This window comes from Homo sapiens, chromosome 19, assembly GCF_000001405.40.
Source record: "Homo sapiens chromosome 19, GRCh38.p14 Primary Assembly".
Taxonomy (NCBI): domain Eukaryota; kingdom Metazoa; phylum Chordata; class Mammalia; order Primates; family Hominidae; genus Homo; species Homo sapiens.
Window position 1 is genome coordinate 10,981,095 of NC_000019.10, and position 19,410 is coordinate 11,000,504.

Genomic DNA, 19,410 nt, shown 5'->3' on the forward strand with positions numbered 1-19,410 from the left:
AGGAAGAAGCTATAGGTCCCTGAATATCACAGGATCTATGAAGTATGTGGCAGTCCTGCTGTCCCTTTTCCTACCTCATTGCAACACTCTGTGGACCTGAGAAGACTGTGGGGACAGAAGGCCCAGAGGGGAGCGCCAAGGAGCCAGTGCCTCCCCCTGCCCTGGCCGTGCCCACGTTGCTGGGCTTCCCACCTATGGAGGTAGCTGCAGGCGCATCCTCCCTGCAGACATACCCATGGACCAGAGGCTTCAGGCTCCAAAATCAGCATCTTAGTAACATAAACGCAAGGTTCAGACTGTTGTCACATGGCAGAGGCCAGGGCGGCATCTCATAATCAGACAGATCCTGTTTCTGTAGCAGAATGTGCGAATATCCACACGGAGCAGAATCAGGTCAGATTTTGCCTCCAGATGAATTTCCTTGCAGTAACACATTTAGGTTTGTTTATGTCAGGGGCCATCTTTTCAGGATTGGCTGGAGTGCCAGCCACTGGTTCCTCCCCTGCTGAGTTTCCTGGTCCTCTCTCCTGCTGTTAGCCATGAAAGTGGAATGAGGTCATTTTGAGCCTTTCATCTCTTGTCTAAGAATATATCCCTATGGCTGGGTGCAGTGTCTCACACCTGTAATTCCAGCACTTTGGGAAGTCCAGGCTGGAGGATCCCTTGAGCCAGGATCAACAAGTGTTTGAGACCAGCCTGGGCAACATAGAGAGACCCCTGTCTCTACAAAAAAATTAAGAAAAATTAGCCAGGCATGGTGATGCACTCCTATGGTCCCAGCTACTCGGGAGGCTGAGGCAGGAGGACGGCTTGAGCCCCCGAGGTCAAGGCTGCAGTGGGCTATGATGGCTCCACTGCACTCCAGCTTGGGTGATAGAGTAAGACTCTGTATACAAAACAAAAACCCCTACCTTTCAAATTAAAACTTTTTCCGCTAGATCACCTAATACAATGTAATTTTTGGCCAGGAACGGTGGCTCACACCTGTAATCCCAGCACTTCGGGAGGCCAAGGCGGGTGGATCACCTGAAGGTCAGACGTTCGAGACCAGCCTGGCCAATGTGGTGAAACCCCGTCTCTACTAAAAATAAAAAAATTGGCCTGGCGTGGTGGTTCACACCTGTAATCCCAGCACTTTGGGAGGTCGAGGCGGTTGGGATCACGAGGTCAGGAGTTCAAGACCAGCCTGAATAACATGGTGAAAGCCTGTCTCTATTAAAAATACAAAAATTAGCTGGGCATGGTGGTGTGTGCTTGTAATCCCAACTACTCAGGAGGCTGAGGCAGGAGAATTGCTTGAACCTGGGAGGCGGAGGTTGCCGTAAGCCAAGATCACGCCATTGCACTCCAGCCTGGGCAACAAGAGTGAAACTTCGTCTCAAAAACATAAATAAAACAAAAATAGAACTTTTTTTTTTTTTTTGAGACGGAGTCTTGCTCTGTCGCCCAGGCTGGAGTGCGGTGGCACGATCTCGGCTCACTGCAAGCGCCGCCTCCTGGGTTCACACCATTCTCCTGGCTCAGCCTCCCCAGTAGCTGGGACTACAGGTGCCTGCCACCATGCCCGGCTAAGCTTTTTTTTTGTATTTTTAGTAGAGACAGGGTTTCACCATGTTACCCAGGATGGTCTCGATCTCCTGACCTCGTGATCTGCCCGCCTTGGCCTCCCAAAGTGCTGGGATTACAGGCGTGAGCCACCGCGCCTGGCCAAAAAATGGAACTTTTTAAATCAAGAGAATTAAAAATGTTTCTACACTTCTTACAGAATTTATCCTTAGAACCAGAAATATGCCGGAGAGTTCAGGGGCAAAGAGATTCATTCCAAAAGGCAGCAGAAACAAGACAGATTTGCGACATGCTTAACCAGAGAGGGGCTATCAAAAAACCCAGGGTGTCAGAGCCAGGAAATGCAGTGTAGCTTTTAGAATTTGTGTTTTAAAGACTATTAAATGATAAGAATTGCCATGGGTAAGATTATATGAAAGCCTAGAATGTATTGAGAAATTTCACTGAGTGTGGGTGCGTCTTCAGCCAGCGAGGGCCTTCAGCCAGCGAGGCGGAGAAGCCTCTTTACAGACACAAGTATCTTTCCTTTCCCATTTGTCTCTGGGTGGTTGGAGGACATCCCCTTATGCATATTAGCATCTAAAGGAAAAGGTGACGTTTCCAAGTGTCAGGGACCAAAAAGTGCCATTATTTGTGTAATACTTTATCCTTTTTAAACTTAAGTTCATTTATTTTAAGGGAAACTTGGTCTTACTACTTTCAATGGAAAACCAGCAGTATTTGCCATAAATATCTGTTTTGGCTGAATTGATGGAATTTCGGTTAGAGGCTTGTTTTTTTTTTTTTTTTTCTGAGACAGAGTGTCGCTCTATTGCCCAGGCAGGAGTGCAGTGGTGCGATCCGGGCTCACCGCGATCTCCGTCTCCCAAGTTCAAGCGATTCTCCTGCCTCAGCCTCCGGAGTAGCTGGGACCACAGGCGTGTGCCACCATGTCCAGCTGATTTTCGTATTTTTAGTAGAGATGGGGTTCGCCTTGTTGGCCAGACTGGTCTCGAACTCCTGACCTCAAATGATCTGCCCGCATTGGCCTCCCAAAGTTCTGGGATTACAGGTGTGAGCCACTGCACCCGGCCAGTCAGAGGCTATTTGAGCTATAGTCCTGTTCTTTCTGTTAGGAAGATAAGCAAGTGGAGAGCAGTGTGAAGGGTAGACCAGCACCCCCTGAGACACCCTCTGCCGTGATCAGGAATATGGCAGGAGCCCCTGAAGGCCCCTGTGGGGCAGTGCTTGTCTGTGAGCGTGGCCCACCCCTTCCTGGGTAGACTGACTGATCTTGTGTGCCTGAGATGTAGGACTTCCTCTGAGAGTGATCATGGAGAAACGGTTTGGGTGGCTGGTGGGGAAGGTACTGGCTTCCTGTGGGATGTAGATTCTGATGTGACCGTATGATTGTCCCTTGCTATCCCTGTCCTGCCTCGCCCTTGGTCATGAACCCCAGACTGACCAGGACTGTCTTCCAGCAGGAGGCCACTGTCTGCAGCTCCCGTGAAGATGTCCACTCCAGACCCACCCCTGGGCGGAACTCCTCGGCCAGGTCCTTCCCCGGGCCCTGGCCCTTCCCCTGGAGCCATGCTGGGCCCTAGCCCGGGTCCCTCGCCGGGCTCCGCCCACAGCATGATGGGGCCCAGCCCAGGGCCGCCCTCAGCAGGACACCCCATCCCCACCCAGGGGCCTGGAGGGTACCCTCAGGACAACATGCACCAGATGCACAAGGTAGGGATCCCTGTGCCCGCCTCGCACCTGCGGCCTCTGCCCACTAGGGCTGCAGGCAGCCTCTGGACCGAGGGCCTTACTTGGAGGATGGGGGGAAGCCTTCTTGTTGGAGGTGTCCTGCCTTGGCTCAGCCCCCTACCCCAGGGCCCACGGCCATGAACAGAAGGTTCAGCTCGTCAGACCCCAGCCTGTGCTGGCGCATGATCTGGGCCCCGCGGGCACCTGCCCCACCGTTTCCCGCTCCCTTGCTTTCTGCATGTGAAATTTGGGAATATCACTACAAAGTTTTCTTTTGGTAATGAAGAAAAACATCCAAATTCCTAAAAAGGCTTTTAGCCACGTGGTTTCCCCCGTTCTGGCTGTCAGGCTCACCTGTGCAGCTCGCAGAGCCGAGCAGCGGGTTCCCTTTCCTCCAAGGCGTGCCCCTCAGCCACTGTCTTTACCTCACCTGCGCTGAGCAGGGCCTTCAGTCAGCAAGGTGGAGAAGGCTCTTTATGGTCACAAGTCTCTTTTGCATGTCCCTGGATGTGGTTAGAGGACATATTCCCTTATACATACAGCATCTGAAAGGAAAGGTCATATTAGCATCCATGAGAAAAGGTGACATTTCTAAGTGTCACGGGCCACAGGAGGTCCCGGGTGGTAGAAGATGAGGATTGCTTGACCACAGTCTCCCATATGCTCGTGCTCCACTGGGCGACATTTATTTTGTGTACCTGTCTCGAGGCCTAAGTAGGTGTCAGAACCTTGCCTTGGAGTCATGCTGGGGACTGGGGAGATGCGCGTCATCTTCGGGTGGCTGTTCTCGGTGCCCTCGAGCTTCTCTCGGGCAGCGCATAGCTGCGCTGCCACCTCACGTTCCACATGCTGACCCTGCCTTGCCATGGTCCCTCTCGCAGCCCATGGAGTCCATGCATGAGAAGGGCATGTCGGACGACCCGCGCTACAACCAGATGAAAGGAATGGGGATGCGGTCAGGGGGCCATGCTGGGATGGGGCCCCCGCCCAGCCCCATGGACCAGCACTCCCAAGGTACAGAACTGCGTTCCTTCCTGCCTTGTGTTTGTCATACTCCAGAGTCCTCAGATCATTTTCCTCCCCTGGGTTCCCACAGGATGGATTCAGGGAGTACCTAGGATGATGTAGCCGGGTGGGTGGCCCGCCACAGAGAGCTGTCTGGCATGGCGTGGCTGGTGCTCTGTTCTGGCCACCTCGTCTCGGAGCAGCCCTGGAAGGGGAAATGCTGGTTGGGGGGCAGACCATGTTCAGCATGGGTGATAGAGGAGGGCTGTGCAGGGCAGCAGCCCCGTGCCACCCAGGAACTTACTGGAAATACAGATTCCTGGGGCCTGGGACTCTGCTTTAATGAGCCCAGCAGGTGCCTTTTCTGTACGAGGACAATTGAGAAGTGATATGGTGGGTGACTTTCCAAGGCCTTGCTGTCATCAGGGGTGGGAAGCTCAGGGGCTGCACTGGGAATGGAAGTGTTGGGGGTGGGCCTGGCGAGCCCGAGGATGTGGACCCCGCCTGTGGACAGGCAGGCGGAAGCCGGGAGAGAGCCGTGATTTCATGCACAGGTTCTCAGCATTAACCAGAAGCACCTTACTGAGACGTGGGCCAAACCAAATCCACCAGGTCGGCTGCTGGGCTGAGGTGCCTTCAGCATGTGCCCTCCAGGTGCCCCTGGTTGACTCAAGAGAAGGATGCCATTTGGCTGTGCCCTGTCTCAGAGTAGGAGCTGGTGTAGGGGGAAGAGGCTGTAAAAATCACAGACATATGCTGCCGAGTGACCAGTGGGCTGACCTTTCTCTGCAGGTTACCCCTCGCCCCTGGGTGGCTCTGAGCATGCCTCTAGTCCAGTTCCAGCCAGTGGCCCGTCTTCGGGGCCCCAGATGTCTTCCGGGCCAGGAGGTGCCCCGCTGGATGGTGCTGACCCCCAGGCCTTGGGGCAGCAGAACCGGGGCCCAACCCCATTTAACCAGAACCAGCTGCACCAGCTCAGAGCTCAGATCATGGCCTACAAGATGCTGGCCAGGGGGCAGCCCCTCCCCGACCACCTGCAGATGGCGGTGCAGGGCAAGCGGCCGATGCCCGGGATGCAGCAGCAGATGCCAACGCTACCTCCACCCTCGGTGTCCGCAACAGGACCCGGCCCTGGCCCTGGCCCTGGCCCCGGCCCGGGTCCCGGCCCGGCACCTCCAAATTACAGCAGGCCTCATGGTAAGACTGGCTGCCCTGGCCCTCAGGTGTCTCAGAGCGAATGGCTGGGGCGTGGGTGGCGGGGTGGACAGACCGTGCTCTGTTGCCGACTGGGTTCCCCGGTTTGGGATTGCACGGGCCCATACTGCACTTCTGGGTGCTCGGGTGGTGGGGGCAGCTAAATGCTGCTTCCCCAGCTCCCCGCTTCCCCTGGGGCCGCTGGTTAATAGGTGTATCTGCTGTGTCCCCTGGAGCCAGGGCTGCCCACGGGGCTGGGCGCAGGCATAAACCTGGGACGCACTGTTTTCTCTTTTGTTTCTCCCTACATGTAGGTATGGGAGGGCCCAACATGCCTCCCCCAGGACCCTCGGGCGTGCCCCCCGGGATGCCAGGCCAGCCTCCTGGAGGGCCTCCCAAGCCCTGGCCTGAAGGTGAGCTCCCTCTTCTATGGTGGTGCACCCGTGCCCTTACTCCCCATCTCAAGCTTGGGTCCTTGAGATGAGCTTTGTCAGGGAGAAAGGGCCGAGGGTGGTCAGGCTGAACTGCAGCCTGTACTTTTCTTGTGGTGGTCCCCGGGTCTCCCCTGTAGCCAGTCAGTTCCCAAAGGCTGTCGTTCATCCCTCCTCTGACAGCTTGTGGCCTTCACCCAGTCCCTGAGCCCTGTATATGTAATTGCTCAGTAAGTGCTGCAGGCTCCCATCTGTTGGGCTCAAAGAGGCAGTGGGACTCATTACCCATCCTCTTGGAGCCTGAGGTTTAGCGATGGGCATTGAGGGGCAAATTGCTTCCACTGGATTTAGTTGGCACTAGGAGGAGATGACAGGAAATGCTGCCATAGAGCCACAGACAGAACAAAAAGGCCTTGGGAGCCTGGGGCTGGCCCCAGTGGAGGGTGTGAAGGACGAGGGTGAGGCTGAGATCTGGAGGAGGTTGGAGCCCAAGGCAGGTGTGAAGGACACCCCTGGGTGAAAGGTGGGAGATGGGCGGGGTCTGCCTGTCCCCAGTGCCTCAAGCAGCTCAGCAGCTTTCCATTTCCAGCCCGGGATGGGCCCCAGAGCTCAACATGACGCCCTGGCCCCTTGCCTTCTCCCAGGACCCATGGCGAATGCTGCTGCCCCCACGAGCACCCCTCAGAAGCTGATTCCCCCGCAGCCAACGGGCCGCCCTTCCCCCGCGCCCCCTGCCGTCCCACCCGCCGCCTCGCCCGTGATGCCACCGCAGACCCAGTCCCCCGGGCAGCCGGCCCAGCCCGCGCCCATGGTGCCACTGCACCAGAAGCAGAGCCGCATCACCCCCATCCAGAAGCCGCGGGGCCTCGACCCTGTGGAGATCCTGCAGGAGCGCGAGTACAGGTGAGGGCGGGGCCCAGTTGCCAAGGTCACTGCCCTGTGTCCCCCATGTCCCCCTGGGGAAGCCACTCAACTTTCTCCCCCACTCTAGCAAACAGTGCCCTGTGCCCACCACTGCCACTTGGCCTACACCTCCTTCCTCACCTCCCTGCTCCCACCCTGGCTGCGGTCTGTTTCCCACACAGCAGTTTGAGTTCTCTCTCTTTTTTTTTTTTTGAGACGGAGTTTCACTCTTGTTGCCCACGCTGGAGTGCAATGGCACAATCTCGGTTCACTGCAACCTGCATCTCCTGGCTTCAAGCGATTCTTCTGCCTCAGCCTCCTGAGTAGCTGGGATTATAGGCATGCGCCACCACACCTGGCTAATTTTGTATTTATTTTAGTAGAGGCAGGGTTTCTCCATGTTGGTCAGGCTGGTCTCGAGCTCCTGACCTCAGATGCTCCCAAAGTGCTGGGATTACAGGCATGAGCCACCGCACCTGGCATGAATTCTCTTTTTATGATTGATATCAGATCTACTCCGTGGATTAAAACCTGCCTGTAGCTTCAATTATCTGCCCAATAAGCTTTGCCTTATGTCCACTCCTGCCCAGCATCCTTCCTCACCCATCCCAGTCTCTCTGTTCCTCTTTTCATTTATTTAACAAGTTAGACTTGTTCCTGCCCCAGGACCTTTGCACAGGCTGTGCATGGCTCCTTCTACTCATTCAGGCCTGATTGCTGGGGTTCCCTCCTCATGGAGGCCCTTCCTGTCACTTCCAGCCACTCTCTGGAATTGCAGTGGATATTTTATTTTTTTTAAATCTCCTTTATGGCCTGTGTTTTCTAATGAGACTGAGAGTTCCTTGCTTTGTTGTTCTTGTTTAGTGCTAAGGCCCTGCACTTAAAATGGTCCCTGGCATACAGTTGGTGCTCAATGAGTATGTGCAGAAAGACTGATTAAGAGAATTAGCCCACATAACCTTCGCATGTAACCTTCGTAACCTTCAGACCAAGCCTCTAGGGTCACTCCGAGGGGTTGCCTCAGTTTTGAGGTGAGAATGCTGAGGTGTGCAGTTGAAATAGATTCCCACCGCCCTGCGCCTCATCCATGCCAGAGCTGCATGAAAACCTTGGCCCGCCTGACGCCAGAACCTGGCTCACACCACTGAAAAGGCATGACCTGGGCGCGTCTATCAGGAATCTTGTTTGCTGTCCCCTGAGGCCCGGTCCTGAGGAGTGCCCCGGGCTATCTCCCTCTCTGCTGTGCCCTGCGGCCAGCATCCTCTTCTGAGGCATCTCTTGCCTCATGACTAGTGCCTGCCTCTCTCGAGGGATGGGTCCCCTGCAGCTCCAGCTGTAACTGGGTGCCCTGGCAACCCTCTCACCGCCTTTGCTCCTTGTCTCTGCTCCCAGGCTGCAGGCTCGCATCGCACACCGAATTCAGGAACTTGAAAACCTTCCCGGGTCCCTGGCCGGGGATTTGCGAACCAAAGCGACCATTGAGCTCAAGGCCCTCAGGCTGCTGAACTTCCAGAGGCAGGTGGGTGCTGGCATGGCCGCAGCTTTCCGAAAAGGGCCTTTGTCACCAACACTGCTGCTAAGGCTCCAAATACGGCTTGCCTGGCTAGTATTACACCTGCCTGGGCTGTGAAAAGCAGCCGTGGCCATCCATGGGCACTCAATCACTGCAGAGCCTTCCTCTTACGGCCTGCGCAGTGCTGGGGACGTGGACCTCACTACCCTAAAGCACTTGCCGCCTCAAAGCAGACTTGTATGGGCTTCTTTCTTCCTTTCCCTTTCCCTTTTTTTTTTTTTTTGGAAACAGTCTTGCTCTATCACCTAGGCTGGAGTGCAGTGGCATAAACTCTGCTCACTGCAACCAACGCCTCCTGGGATCAAGCAATTCTTCTGCTTCAGCCTCCCAAGTAGCTGGGATTACAAGCGTGTGCCACCATGCCTAATTTTTATATTTTTAGTAGAGACAGGGTTTCACCATATTGGCCAGGCTGGTCTCAAACTCTTGACCTCAAATGATCGGCCTGCCTTGGCCTCCCAAAGTGCTGGGATTACAGGCATGAGCCACCACGTGCTGTCCTGCATGGGTCTATTTCTGAGGGTACTGTGCTTAGACCCTGGAGTGCAGTGGAGAGATCACAGCTCACTGCAAACTTGACCTCCCAGGCTCATGTCCTCCTCCCGCTTCAGCCTCCTGAGTAGCTGGGACTATAGGCGTGCACCATTACACCTGGCTATATTTTTCTTTTTTTTGAAACAGAGTCTCACTCTGTCACCCAGGCTGGAGTGCAGTGGTGCCATCTCACCCCACTGTGGCCTCTGCCTCTGTGGTTCAAGTGATTTTCCTGTCTCAGCCACTGAGTAGCTGGGATTACAGGTGTGCACCACCATGCCGGGCTGATTTTTTTGAAGTGCAGTGGCACAATCTTGGCTCACTGCAACCTCTGCCTTCCAGGTTCAAGTGATTCTCCCACCTCAGCCTCCTGAGTAGCTGGGATTACAGGCATGTGCCCCACGCCTGGCTAATTTTTGTATTTTTAGTAGAGACAGTGTTTCACCATGTTGGCCAGGCTGGTCTTAAACTCCTGACCTCAGGTGATCCTCCTGCCTCAGCCTCCCAAAGTGCTGGGATTACAGGCATGAGCCACCACGCAGGCCTGGTTTTTGTATTTTTAATAGACACAGGGTTTCGCCATGTCGCCCAGGCTAGTCTCGAACTCCTGAGCTCAAGCCATCCACCTGTCTCAGCCTCCCAAAGTGCTGGGATTACAGGCATGAGCCACTGCTCCTGGCCGCCTAGTTAATTTTTCTTCTAGTTTTTGTAGAAGTGAGGTCTCTCCATGTTGCCCAGGTTGGTCTCAAACTCCTGGGCTTGAGCAATCCTCCCACCTTGGCCTCCCAAAGTGTTGGGATTACTGGCGTTAAGCCACCACACCCAGCCAAGAGTGTTATACTTCTGAATGACTCCTAAGACGTGTGTGTGGTAGAGGGGAGGCAAGCTGGAGGTCCGAGAGGACCCCCTGGATAGATGTCCAGAAGTGATCACCTTCTGTCCTGTGCTCGCCCTGCCCGGGGGCACCTGCTAGACGTCCCCTGCACACACGGACTGGGTGTGTAAGGCACTTACAATGCTCCTTTAGCGGTGAAGCATGTGACATCACCATACGTGTTTGTCATTGTGGATGCCACAGAGCTGTGCAGTGCGCGGGCTTGTCCTCTTCCCTCCTACAGCTGCGCCAGGAGGTGGTGGTGTGCATGCGGAGGGACACAGCGCTGGAGACAGCCCTCAATGCTAAGGCCTACAAGCGCAGCAAGCGCCAGTCCCTGCGCGAGGCCCGCATCACTGAGAAGCTGGAGAAGCAGCAGAAGATCGAGCAGGAGCGCAAGCGCCGGCAGAAGCACCAGGTACGCTCCGGTGGCCCCAAGGCCCTGCAGCCCGCCCACCTGGCTGCCTGGCTTGTCCAGCGGTTGCCACGGGGCTGTGTTTGCTTTGTTCCTAAACATGCTGCTTGTCTCTCTCTTTTGCTCATTGTAACAGTATTCTAGGTACTGAGAGTGTATTGGTGTAAAAACCCAATGGTAGGGAGAAGATAGTGATGAAATCCACGCGTAGCACGTCTGGAAGGTGATAGGGCACAAAGAAAAATCAAGCCAGGATAGAGAGGAAGGAACGGGCTGTTGTAGAACTGATGTTGGGGGAGTTCTTTCTTTTGGAGGTGACATCTGGGCAGACCCCCAAGGAAGGGAGGCACACAGATCTGTGGGAAAGAGCTTTCTGGGAAAAGGAGAAGGTGCAAGGGCCCTGGGGCTGGAATGTGCCTGTGTTTTCTCTGGAAAGCAAGGACCTGCATGAGCCAGAGTAGAGTGAGTGGCGGGGAGAGCTGGAGGAAGGGAGCGCAGGGAGGTGACGAGCAGGTGATGCAGGGCCTTGCGAGCTGCATGGAGGATTTGGGCTTTTGCTCTGAGTAAAGTGGGAGCCATAGAGGGTTCTGGGCAGTGCAGGGACTGATCTGACTCAGGGTTTCCCAAGATGAATCAGTAAGACGGAAATCTTCAAATCTAAAATCAAGTAAGGATTTGGGGATGATTGTGCTGATTTGGTCATTTATAGATTTTCTAGAGATTTTCTATAATTAATATCTTATTGGTGTAGTGTAAAATAATCTAGACAGTCAACACAGCAATCTCTGTTAACTTTTTTTTTTTTTTTTGAGATGGAGTCTCGCTGTGTCACTGAGGCTGGAGTGCAGTGGTGCAATCTCGGCTCACTGCAACCTCCATCTCCTGGGTTCAAGCAGTTTTCCTGCCTCAGCCTACCTAGTAGCTGGGATTACAGGCACCTGCCACCATGCCTGGCTAACTTTTTTTTTGTATTTTTAGTAGAGATGGGGTTTCACCATGTTGGTCAGGCTGGTTTCAAATTCCTGACCTCAAGTGATCTGTCCGTCTTGGCCTCTCAAAGTGCTAAGATGGCAGGCGTAATCCCCCGTGCCTGGCCAACATTTTTTTTTTTTTTTTTTTTTGAGATGGAGTTTCACTCTTGTCACCCGGACTGGAGTGCAATGGCACGATCTTGGCTCACTGCAACCTCTGCCTCCTGGGTTCAAGGGATTCTCCTGCCTCAGCCTCCCAAGTAGTTGGGATTACAGATGTGCGCCGCCACACCTGTTTGTTTTTTTCTTTTTTTGAGACAGAGTTTCACTCTTGTTGCCCAGGCCGGAGTGCAGTGGTGCGATCTTGGTTCGACACAACCTCTGCCTCCTGGGTTCAAGCGATTTTCCTGCCTCAGCCTCCCAAGTAGCTGGGACTACAGGCACCTGCCACCATGCCTGGCTAATTTTTTATATTTTTAGTAGAGATGAGGTTTCACTATGTTGGCCAGGCTGCTGGTCTCAGACTGTTGACCTCGTGATCCGCCTGCCTCGGCTTCCCAAAGTGCTGGGATTACAGACGTGAGCCACTGCTCCTGACCACCAACATTTTTTTATATATATTATTTCAGCCTTTTTTCTTGTATATTAATACAAGGTTAAATAGCCCTTTTTAAATTTTTTCTAAAACTTTGCTTTTTTTTTTTTTTTTTTTGAGTCAGAATCTCACTCTGTTGCCCAGGCTGGAGTGCAGTGGCACGATCTCCACTCACTGCAGCCTCTGTCTTCTGGGTTCAAGCGATTCTCCTGCCTTAGCCACCTGAGCAGCTGGAATTACAGGTGTGCACCACCACACCTGGCTACTTTTTGTACTTTTAGTAGAGATGGGGATTCACCCTGTTGGCCAGGCTGGTCTTGAACTCCTGACCTCAAGTGATCCGCCTGCCTTGGCCTTCCAAAGTGCTGGAATTACAGGCGTGAGCCGCTGCTCCTGGCCACATCGCTTTGTTTTTAAGTATCATGGAAACATGACTTTTGATGTCTACACTGTATTCCATTTCTATGTGTCCAGGATCTAATCATTTATGTCACCTTTTTCCTGTTTGAGGACATGCAGCATGTTTCAGCTTTTGAAAATTAAAAATTATGCTAGGACCGGAATTCTTGGCTTGAACATTTTGGAGCTGGTCTCTGATATTTCCTTAAAATAAATTTGTAGTAATGGAATAAGTTGGGTGAAGGGTTGGAAGCATTTTTGAGACATTTCACATCCGTGCCATGCTGCCCTGCCAGTCGACTGCACTGTGTGCCTACCTGCTGTGTTTGAGGGCCTTTCCCACCCACAGTTGCCGGTGCTTAGTTTGTTTTTTTTTTTGAGACGGAGTCTCGCTCTGTCGCCCACGCTGGAGTGCAGTGGCGCGATCTCGGCTCACTGCAAGCTCTGCCTGCTGGGTTCATGCCATTCTTCTGCCTCGGCCTCCTGAGTAGCTGGGACTACAGGTGCCAGCCACCACGCCCGGCTAATTTTTTGTATTTTTAGTAGAGACGGGGTTTCACCATGTTAGCCAGGATGGTATCGATCTGACCTTGTGATCTGCCCACTTCGGCCTCCCAAAGTGCTGGGATTACAGGCGTGAGCCACCGCGCCCTGCCGCCAGTGCTGAGTTTTATCATCAGAGAGAGAAACCCAACCGCGGCAGGCAAAGGGTGTCCCTTTATTGTTTTCATAATAGTCTCGTTTTTATTTTATGTATTATATTTATTTTTTTGAGATGGAGTCTCACTCTGTCACCCAGGCTGGAGTACAGTGGTGCGATCTCAGCTCACTGCAACCTCTGTCTCCTGGATTCAAGCGATTCCCCTGCTTTGGCCTCCTGAGTAGCTGGGATTACAGGCATGTGCCACCACACCTGGCTAATATTTTTTGTATTTGTAGTAGAGATGGGGTTTCACTATGTTGGCTGGGCTGGTCTCGAACTCCTGACCTCAGGCATTTTGTCCTCCTCAGCCTCCCAAAGCGATATTCTAGGTTTTTTTTTTTTTTTTTTTTTTTGAGACAGCGTCTCACTCTGTTGCCCAGGCTGGAGCACAGTGGCACGATCTCGGCTCACTGCAAGCTCCGCCTCCCGGGTTCACGCCATTCTCCTGCCTCAGCCTCCCGAGTAGCTGGGACTACAGGCGGCCCCTCACCACGCCCGGCTGATTTTTTGAATTTTTTTTGTTAGTAGAGATGGGGTTTTACCATGGTCTCGATCTCCTGACCTCATGATCCGCCCGCCTCAGCCTCCCAAAGTGCTGGGATTACAGGCATGAGCCACTGTGCCCAGCCCTAATTTTTTTATTTTTATTTTTAGTAGAGACGGGGTTTCACCGTGTTAGCCAGGATGATCTCGATCTCCTGACCTCGTGATCTGCCCTCCTCTGCCTCCCAAAGCGCTGGGATTACAGGCCAATATTCTAGGTTTTAAACAAGCCTTGCGGGGAGATGTGTCCACCATGCTGCTGAAGGGTCAGCCTTCTCTTTTGTGCTTTCCTGCAGGAATACCTCAATAGCATTCTCCAGCATGCCAAGGATTTCAAGGAATATCACAGATCCGTCACAGGCAAAATCCAGAAGCTGACCAAGGCAGTGGCCACGTACCATGCCAACACGGAGCGGGAGCAGAAGAAAGAGAACGAGCGGATCGAGAAGGAGCGCATGCGGAGGCTCATGGTATGGTCCTGCCTTCTTGACGTGCGCTCTTCTACATGTGTAGCTGGTACTGCGGGCTCCAGGGGTCACTCCCCAGGGTTACGCCAAGGCATTTCACAGCTCGGAGTTAGAGGTGGGACAGAGGGAAAAGAGCAGGCGCGGGCTTGGGAGTCAGTCCTGGGCTCGGATATTTGCTGATCTCTCTGATCATCAGAATGACTGTGTGACCTCAGGCCACTTAGCCGGCTCCTCTGCCTTCTCTGGAAAATGGAGGTGGTGCCCCCTTCCCTCGTTCTGTGAGAGCCAGGTGGTGTGATCCAGACCCCCGACCCCTAGCATAAACATCTCTGACCATTTATTTGTGACTGAGTCGCTGGTTGGGCAGATATTGGCAGCGTGTTCTGGGCCAGGTGCTGCTCTGTGTACGGGGACATGGCCCCTGCCTTTGTGGGGGCTCCTGGTTGTGCTTGAGGGGCAGATACGCGAATGAAGCAAACAGAGTAGTGGATGGTGACCGCTACAGTGAGGAGGGGGAAGTGGAGTGGAAGGGGAGGGACAGGGTAGTAAGTAAAAGCCTTGAAACAGAGGCCCAAAGGGTGGCCCTGATGCACAAACGCAGAGACCCAGGGAAGGAGCCCCAGGCAGTGCGGACAAAGGTTGAGGTGGCAGGCAGCCATGTGCCAGGGCAGCCGGTAGCCCTGGGCTCCCAGAACAGCGTTGTGTGGGGCAGGAGGTGAGGTCAGAGCTTACAGGGGCAGGTGGGAGGTGGGACCTTTCAGACCATTGGGAGGACTCTGGGTTGAGTTCTGATCATGAAGGGGAGCCTCACCCGGGAGGGTTTTGGCTGTGGGGTGATGTGATCTGATGTATTCTTAGAAAGGTGGGGGGCTGCTGTAGGAGGTGGTGGGAGGGATGCACCTTGGACTTGGTGGAGAGAAGGCTTCGGGTTTGGGGTGTATTTCGTGGACAGAGTGGGTAGGACTGGCTCATGGCCTCTGTAAATGGCTGCTGGCGGGACTGTCTGCCTAGCGGGTGCCCTTGGAACCTAGCCCTTGGTGGGTTTTGAGGAAATGATTCCTGAATGAGGAGTCGATTGCCGTGTGAAGGGCTGGTGGCACGGCACCCGCGTGAGCTACGCGTGCCCTCAGTGCGCTTCTGGATTGACTGGCCATGGGTGCTCACAGACATGCACATTGTGCCACCACATTGCAGTAACCCCCATGCTTTTGTAGGCTGAAGATGAGGAGGGGTACCGCAAGCTCATCGACCAGAAGAAGGACAAGCGCCTGGCCTACCTCTTGCAGCAGACAGACGAGTACGTGGCTAACCTCACGGAGCTGGTGCGGCAGCACAAGGCTGCCCAGGTCGCCAAGGAGAAAAAGAAGAAAAAGAAAAAGAAGGTGTGCTGGGCCTGGCATGGTGCCCGCCGCGGGTGGGATGGGAGCAGCCGTCTTCACGTGTGTGGCCTCAGCCTTGTGGGTCAGGGCCTGACCGTGTCTCTCTCTATTTCCAGAAGGCAGAAAATGCAGAAGGACAGACGCCTGCCATTGGGCCGGATGGCGAGGTGAGGAAGCAGGGTTTCTTGTGGAAGTATCAAGCTAGCCCTAAGGCGTTGGTCTGTTTCAGACTTTAAAACCTGTGTTCTTTTAAAATTACGAACAATGATATGTGATGATGGTGAGAATCCCAGGGTGTCCTCTGACGCCCATCCCACCCGACCCCACATCCCACATGTTGTGTTTTCTTCCAGACCTTTTTCTATGCATGTGCCACAGGATTCATCTTTCAGGTTTTACTTTGTTGTAACGTCCGACTTACAGGAGAGGTGCAAGAACCGTCCAGAGATGTCCTGTGTGTTCTTCACCCAGAGTCTCCATTTTCACGTTTTGTGTTTTGTTTTGTTTCTTTGAGACAGGGTCTCTCTGTCACCCAGGCTGGATTGCAGTGGCGGATGGCTCACTGCAGCCTTGACCTCCTGGGCTCAAGTGATCCTACCCTTCGAGTAGCTGGGATTACGGTTATGCCCCACCACACCCAGCTAAGTTGTTTTTTTTTTTGAGATGGAGTTTTGCTCTTTTGCCCAGGCTAGAGTAAAGTGGTGCAATCTTGGCTCATTGCAGCCTCCGCCCCGCGAGTTCAATCAATTGTCCTGCCTCAGCCTCCTGAGTAGCTGGGATTATAGGCATCCACCACCACGCCCATTTAATTTTATTTTTATTTATTTATTTATTTATTTTAGACGGAGTCTCGTTCTGTCACACAGGCTGGAGTGCAATGGCACAATCTCTGCTCACTGCAAGCTCCGCCTCCTGGGTTCACGCCATTCTCCTGCCTCAGCCTCCCGAGTAGCTGGGACTACAGGCACCTGCTACCACGCCCGGCTAATTTTTTGTGTTTTTAGTAGAGATGGGATTTCACCGTGTTAGCCAGGATGGTTTCAATCTCCTGACCTCGTGAACATCGGCCTCCCAAAATGCTGGGATTACAGGCTTGATCCACCATGGCCAGCCAGTTTTTGTATTTTTAGTAGAGACGGGGTTTCACCATGTTGGCCAGGCTGGTCTTGAACTCCTGATCTCAAGTGATCCACCCGCCTTGGCCTCCCAAAGTGCCAGGATTACAGGCATAAGCCACCACGCCTGGCCTAATTTTTTAAAATTTATTTTCTATAGAGACGGGGGTTCCATATGTTTTTCAGGCTAGTCTCCAATTCCTGGGCTCAGGCATCCTCCTGCCTCAGCCTCCCAAAGTGTTAGGATTATAGGCATGAGCCCCCGCACCTGGCCTTCACCTGTGTTTTTTCCTAAACTCTTTGAGAGTCAAATGCAGACGTGACAGCGCCTTACCTCCATGTAATTCATTATCTACTTCATAAAGACAAGGTTGTTTCTGCACACTGTACCGAGGTGACGGACACAGGAGGTGAACATTGGTACAGCACTGTTATCCAATCTATAGGCCTTCGTATGAGGTTTGGCCAGTTTTTCCAGTTATCTTCACAGCAGCAGAGAATCCTGGGTCACATTTAGTGGAGGTCCCTTTAGTCAGCTTTAGTCTTAAAGAGCTCCTTGTGTGTGTGTTTGTTTTTTTGCAGAGATGGGGTCTCATGTTGCCCAGGCTGGTCTTGAACTCCTGGGCTCAAGTGATCCTCCCACCTCGGCCTTCCAAAGGCTGTGATTATAGGCGTGAGCCACCACGCTTGGCTTCAGGCCAGCTATGTCATCCAGTGGCCCCGGACTTTGGTTTGTCTGATGTTCCTTGTGGTTGGAGTTGGGTTATGTGTCTCTGGCAGGCAGACCCAACATGGCCCTGAGTCCCTCTCAGGGTGTCATATCGAGAGTGCATGGCGGAGGTTAGCAAATAAGGTCACTGGTGATGCTGACTTTGAACCCCTGCCAAGGGATCTCCACTGTCCAGTTACTGTTTTTTTCTTTTGTAATCAGTAAGTACCCTGTAGGGAGATACTTGAGACTCTGTAACTATGTTGTAACTCCTCAGAATTCCAGCTACTCCTTTTAGTATCTTTTTTTTTTTTTTTGCCTGTATCAGTTTTTGCTCTGATGGCTACAGGATGGTGACTTTTATTTCCATCGTTCTTTCTGCATTGATTTGTTTGTTTTTCTATAGTAGGAAAAGCTTTCTCTTTGGTCCTGTTAGTCCTGTGGCCATGGTCTGCCAACCCCTGGTGTAGACTTACGGATTCTTGTTTAGTTGAATGAATGGATTCCGATCCTTTAAAATGATTTCTTTTGGTCATTTAGCTTTAGCCAGCAGGAGCCCCTTGCCATTGGCTCCTGTTTGCTTTTGGTACATGCCCACCATTCCTGGAGCACTTCCTTCCTCATCAGACTTTTCTTCTGCTTTCCCTGCCTGAGCTCTCTGGAGCCAACTCTTTCTCCAGGGAGTCCTGGTTCCTTTTTTTTTTTTTTTTGTCTGTCAAGACGGGGTCTCCCTGTGTCACCCAGGCCGGAGTGTGTGGTGGTGCAATCATGGCTCCCTGTAGTCTCAACCTCCTGGACTGAAGCGATCCTCCCACCTCAGCCTCCTGAGTACCTGGGGCTACAGGCGCACGCCACCATGCTTGGTTAAGTGTTCTGTATTTTTTTGTAGAGACAGGGTTTCACCATGTTGCCCAGGCTGGTCTCGAACTCCTGAGCTCAAGCAATCTACCTGCCTTGGCCTCCCAAAGTGCTAGGATTACAGACATGAGCCACTATGCCTGGCTATATTTCGTATTATTACAGAAGAATATTTACATGCCAAGATCTGACTTTGGGGGTGCTTCCTGCTAGTGGGCCATCACTGCTTCTAGGCCCTCTGAGCAGCCGGATCTGGGAAATAGATGTATGTACACATACTCATCTGCATTGCTGTTTGTATATATTAAAACTTGTGGCTGGGCATGGTGGCTCATGCCTGTATTCCCAGTACTTTGGGAGGCCAATATGGGAGGACTACTTGAGCCCAGGAGTTCGAGACCAGTGTGGGCAATATGGCAAAACCTTGTCTTTATAAAAAATTTTAAAAATTAGTTGGGTGTAGTGGCATGCACCTGTGGTCCCAGCTACTTGAGAGGCTGAGGTGGGAGGATCACTTGAGTCCAAGAGTTTGAGGCTATAGTGAGCTGTAATCTCACCATTGCACTCCAGCCTGGTCAAGACAGTGAGACCCTATCTCACACGCAAAAAGAATCTTGAGGTTATACTGACACCTCCAATTCTAATCCAACAGCACAGGGTTAATTTTTATCCTTTCCGCCTTTCCATAATTCTAAAATCAGCAACCTGATTTCCCTTAGCAATAATAGGCTTACTTACCTGCTCCATTTTAGAATACACAGAAAGTACGTTCCAAAGTGCTAATGGACACCTCTATGCAGAAGTCTCCTAGTTAGAGTTCAGTATTTATAGAGTTCCTCTACCTCAGGATATGTGTTCCAAATACTGTGTCCAGAAGTTACTGGGGCCGGGTGCGGTGGCTCATGCCTGTAATCCCAGCACTTTGGGAGGCCAAGGTGGGCGGATCACCTAAGGTCAAGAGTTCAAGACCAGCCTGACCAACATAGTGAAACCTCGTCTCTGCTAAAAATACAAAAAATTAGCCAGGTGTGGGGGCACACGCCTGTGGTCCCAGCTACTTGGGAGGCTGAGGCAGGAGAATTGGTTGAACCTGAGAGGTGGAGGTTGCAGTGAGCCAGGTTCATGGCCATTGCACTCCAGCCTGGGTGACAGAGTGAGATTCTGTCTCAAAAAAAAAAAAAAAGAAGTTACTTTGGACCAGGTGTGGTGGCTCATGCCTATAACCCCAGCAGTTTGGGTTGCTAAGGTGGGTGGATCGCTTGAGCCCAGGAGTTCGAAACCAGCCTGAGCAACATGGTGAAACCTCATCTCTACAAAAAATTAACCAGGCTTGGTGCGCACGCCTGTAGTCCCACCTACTCGAGAGGCTGAGGTAGGGGGATAACTTAGCCCAGGAGGTCCAGGCTGCAGTGCACTGTGTTTGTACCACTGCATTCCAGCCTGGG

General features: G+C 52.8%; 1 protein-coding gene across 25 annotated transcripts in view; it reads left to right on the top strand.

The window, feature by feature from the left end:
- Window positions 1-19,410, top strand: part of SMARCA4 (SWI/SNF related BAF chromatin remodeling complex subunit ATPase 4) — a 101,244-nt gene that overhangs the window by 20,065 nt on the left and 61,769 nt on the right. For 14 of the 25 annotated variants that reach the window (XM_024451658.2, XM_047439247.1, NM_001387283.1 and 11 more), the window contains 10 exons: window positions 3,030-3,279; window positions 4,179-4,311; window positions 5,095-5,499; window positions 5,811-5,909; window positions 6,572-6,830; window positions 8,223-8,349; window positions 10,056-10,229; window positions 13,734-13,907; window positions 15,119-15,286; window positions 15,400-15,450. In XM_024451658.2, coding sequence (XP_024307426.1) covers window positions 3,058-3,279; window positions 4,179-4,311; window positions 5,095-5,499; window positions 5,811-5,909; window positions 6,572-6,830; window positions 8,223-8,349; window positions 10,056-10,229; window positions 13,734-13,907; window positions 15,119-15,286; window positions 15,400-15,450 — 1,812 coding nt within the window. In that variant the 5' untranslated portion in view covers window positions 3,030-3,057. Of the gene's footprint in view, window positions 1-3,026; window positions 3,280-4,178; window positions 4,312-5,094; window positions 5,500-5,810; window positions 5,910-6,571; window positions 6,831-8,222; window positions 8,350-10,055; window positions 10,230-13,733; window positions 13,908-15,118; window positions 15,287-15,399; window positions 15,451-19,410 lie in introns of those variants that run through there. The other 11 variants (NR_164683.1, XM_011528198.2, NM_001128844.3 and 8 more) reach the window with 1 other exon arrangement.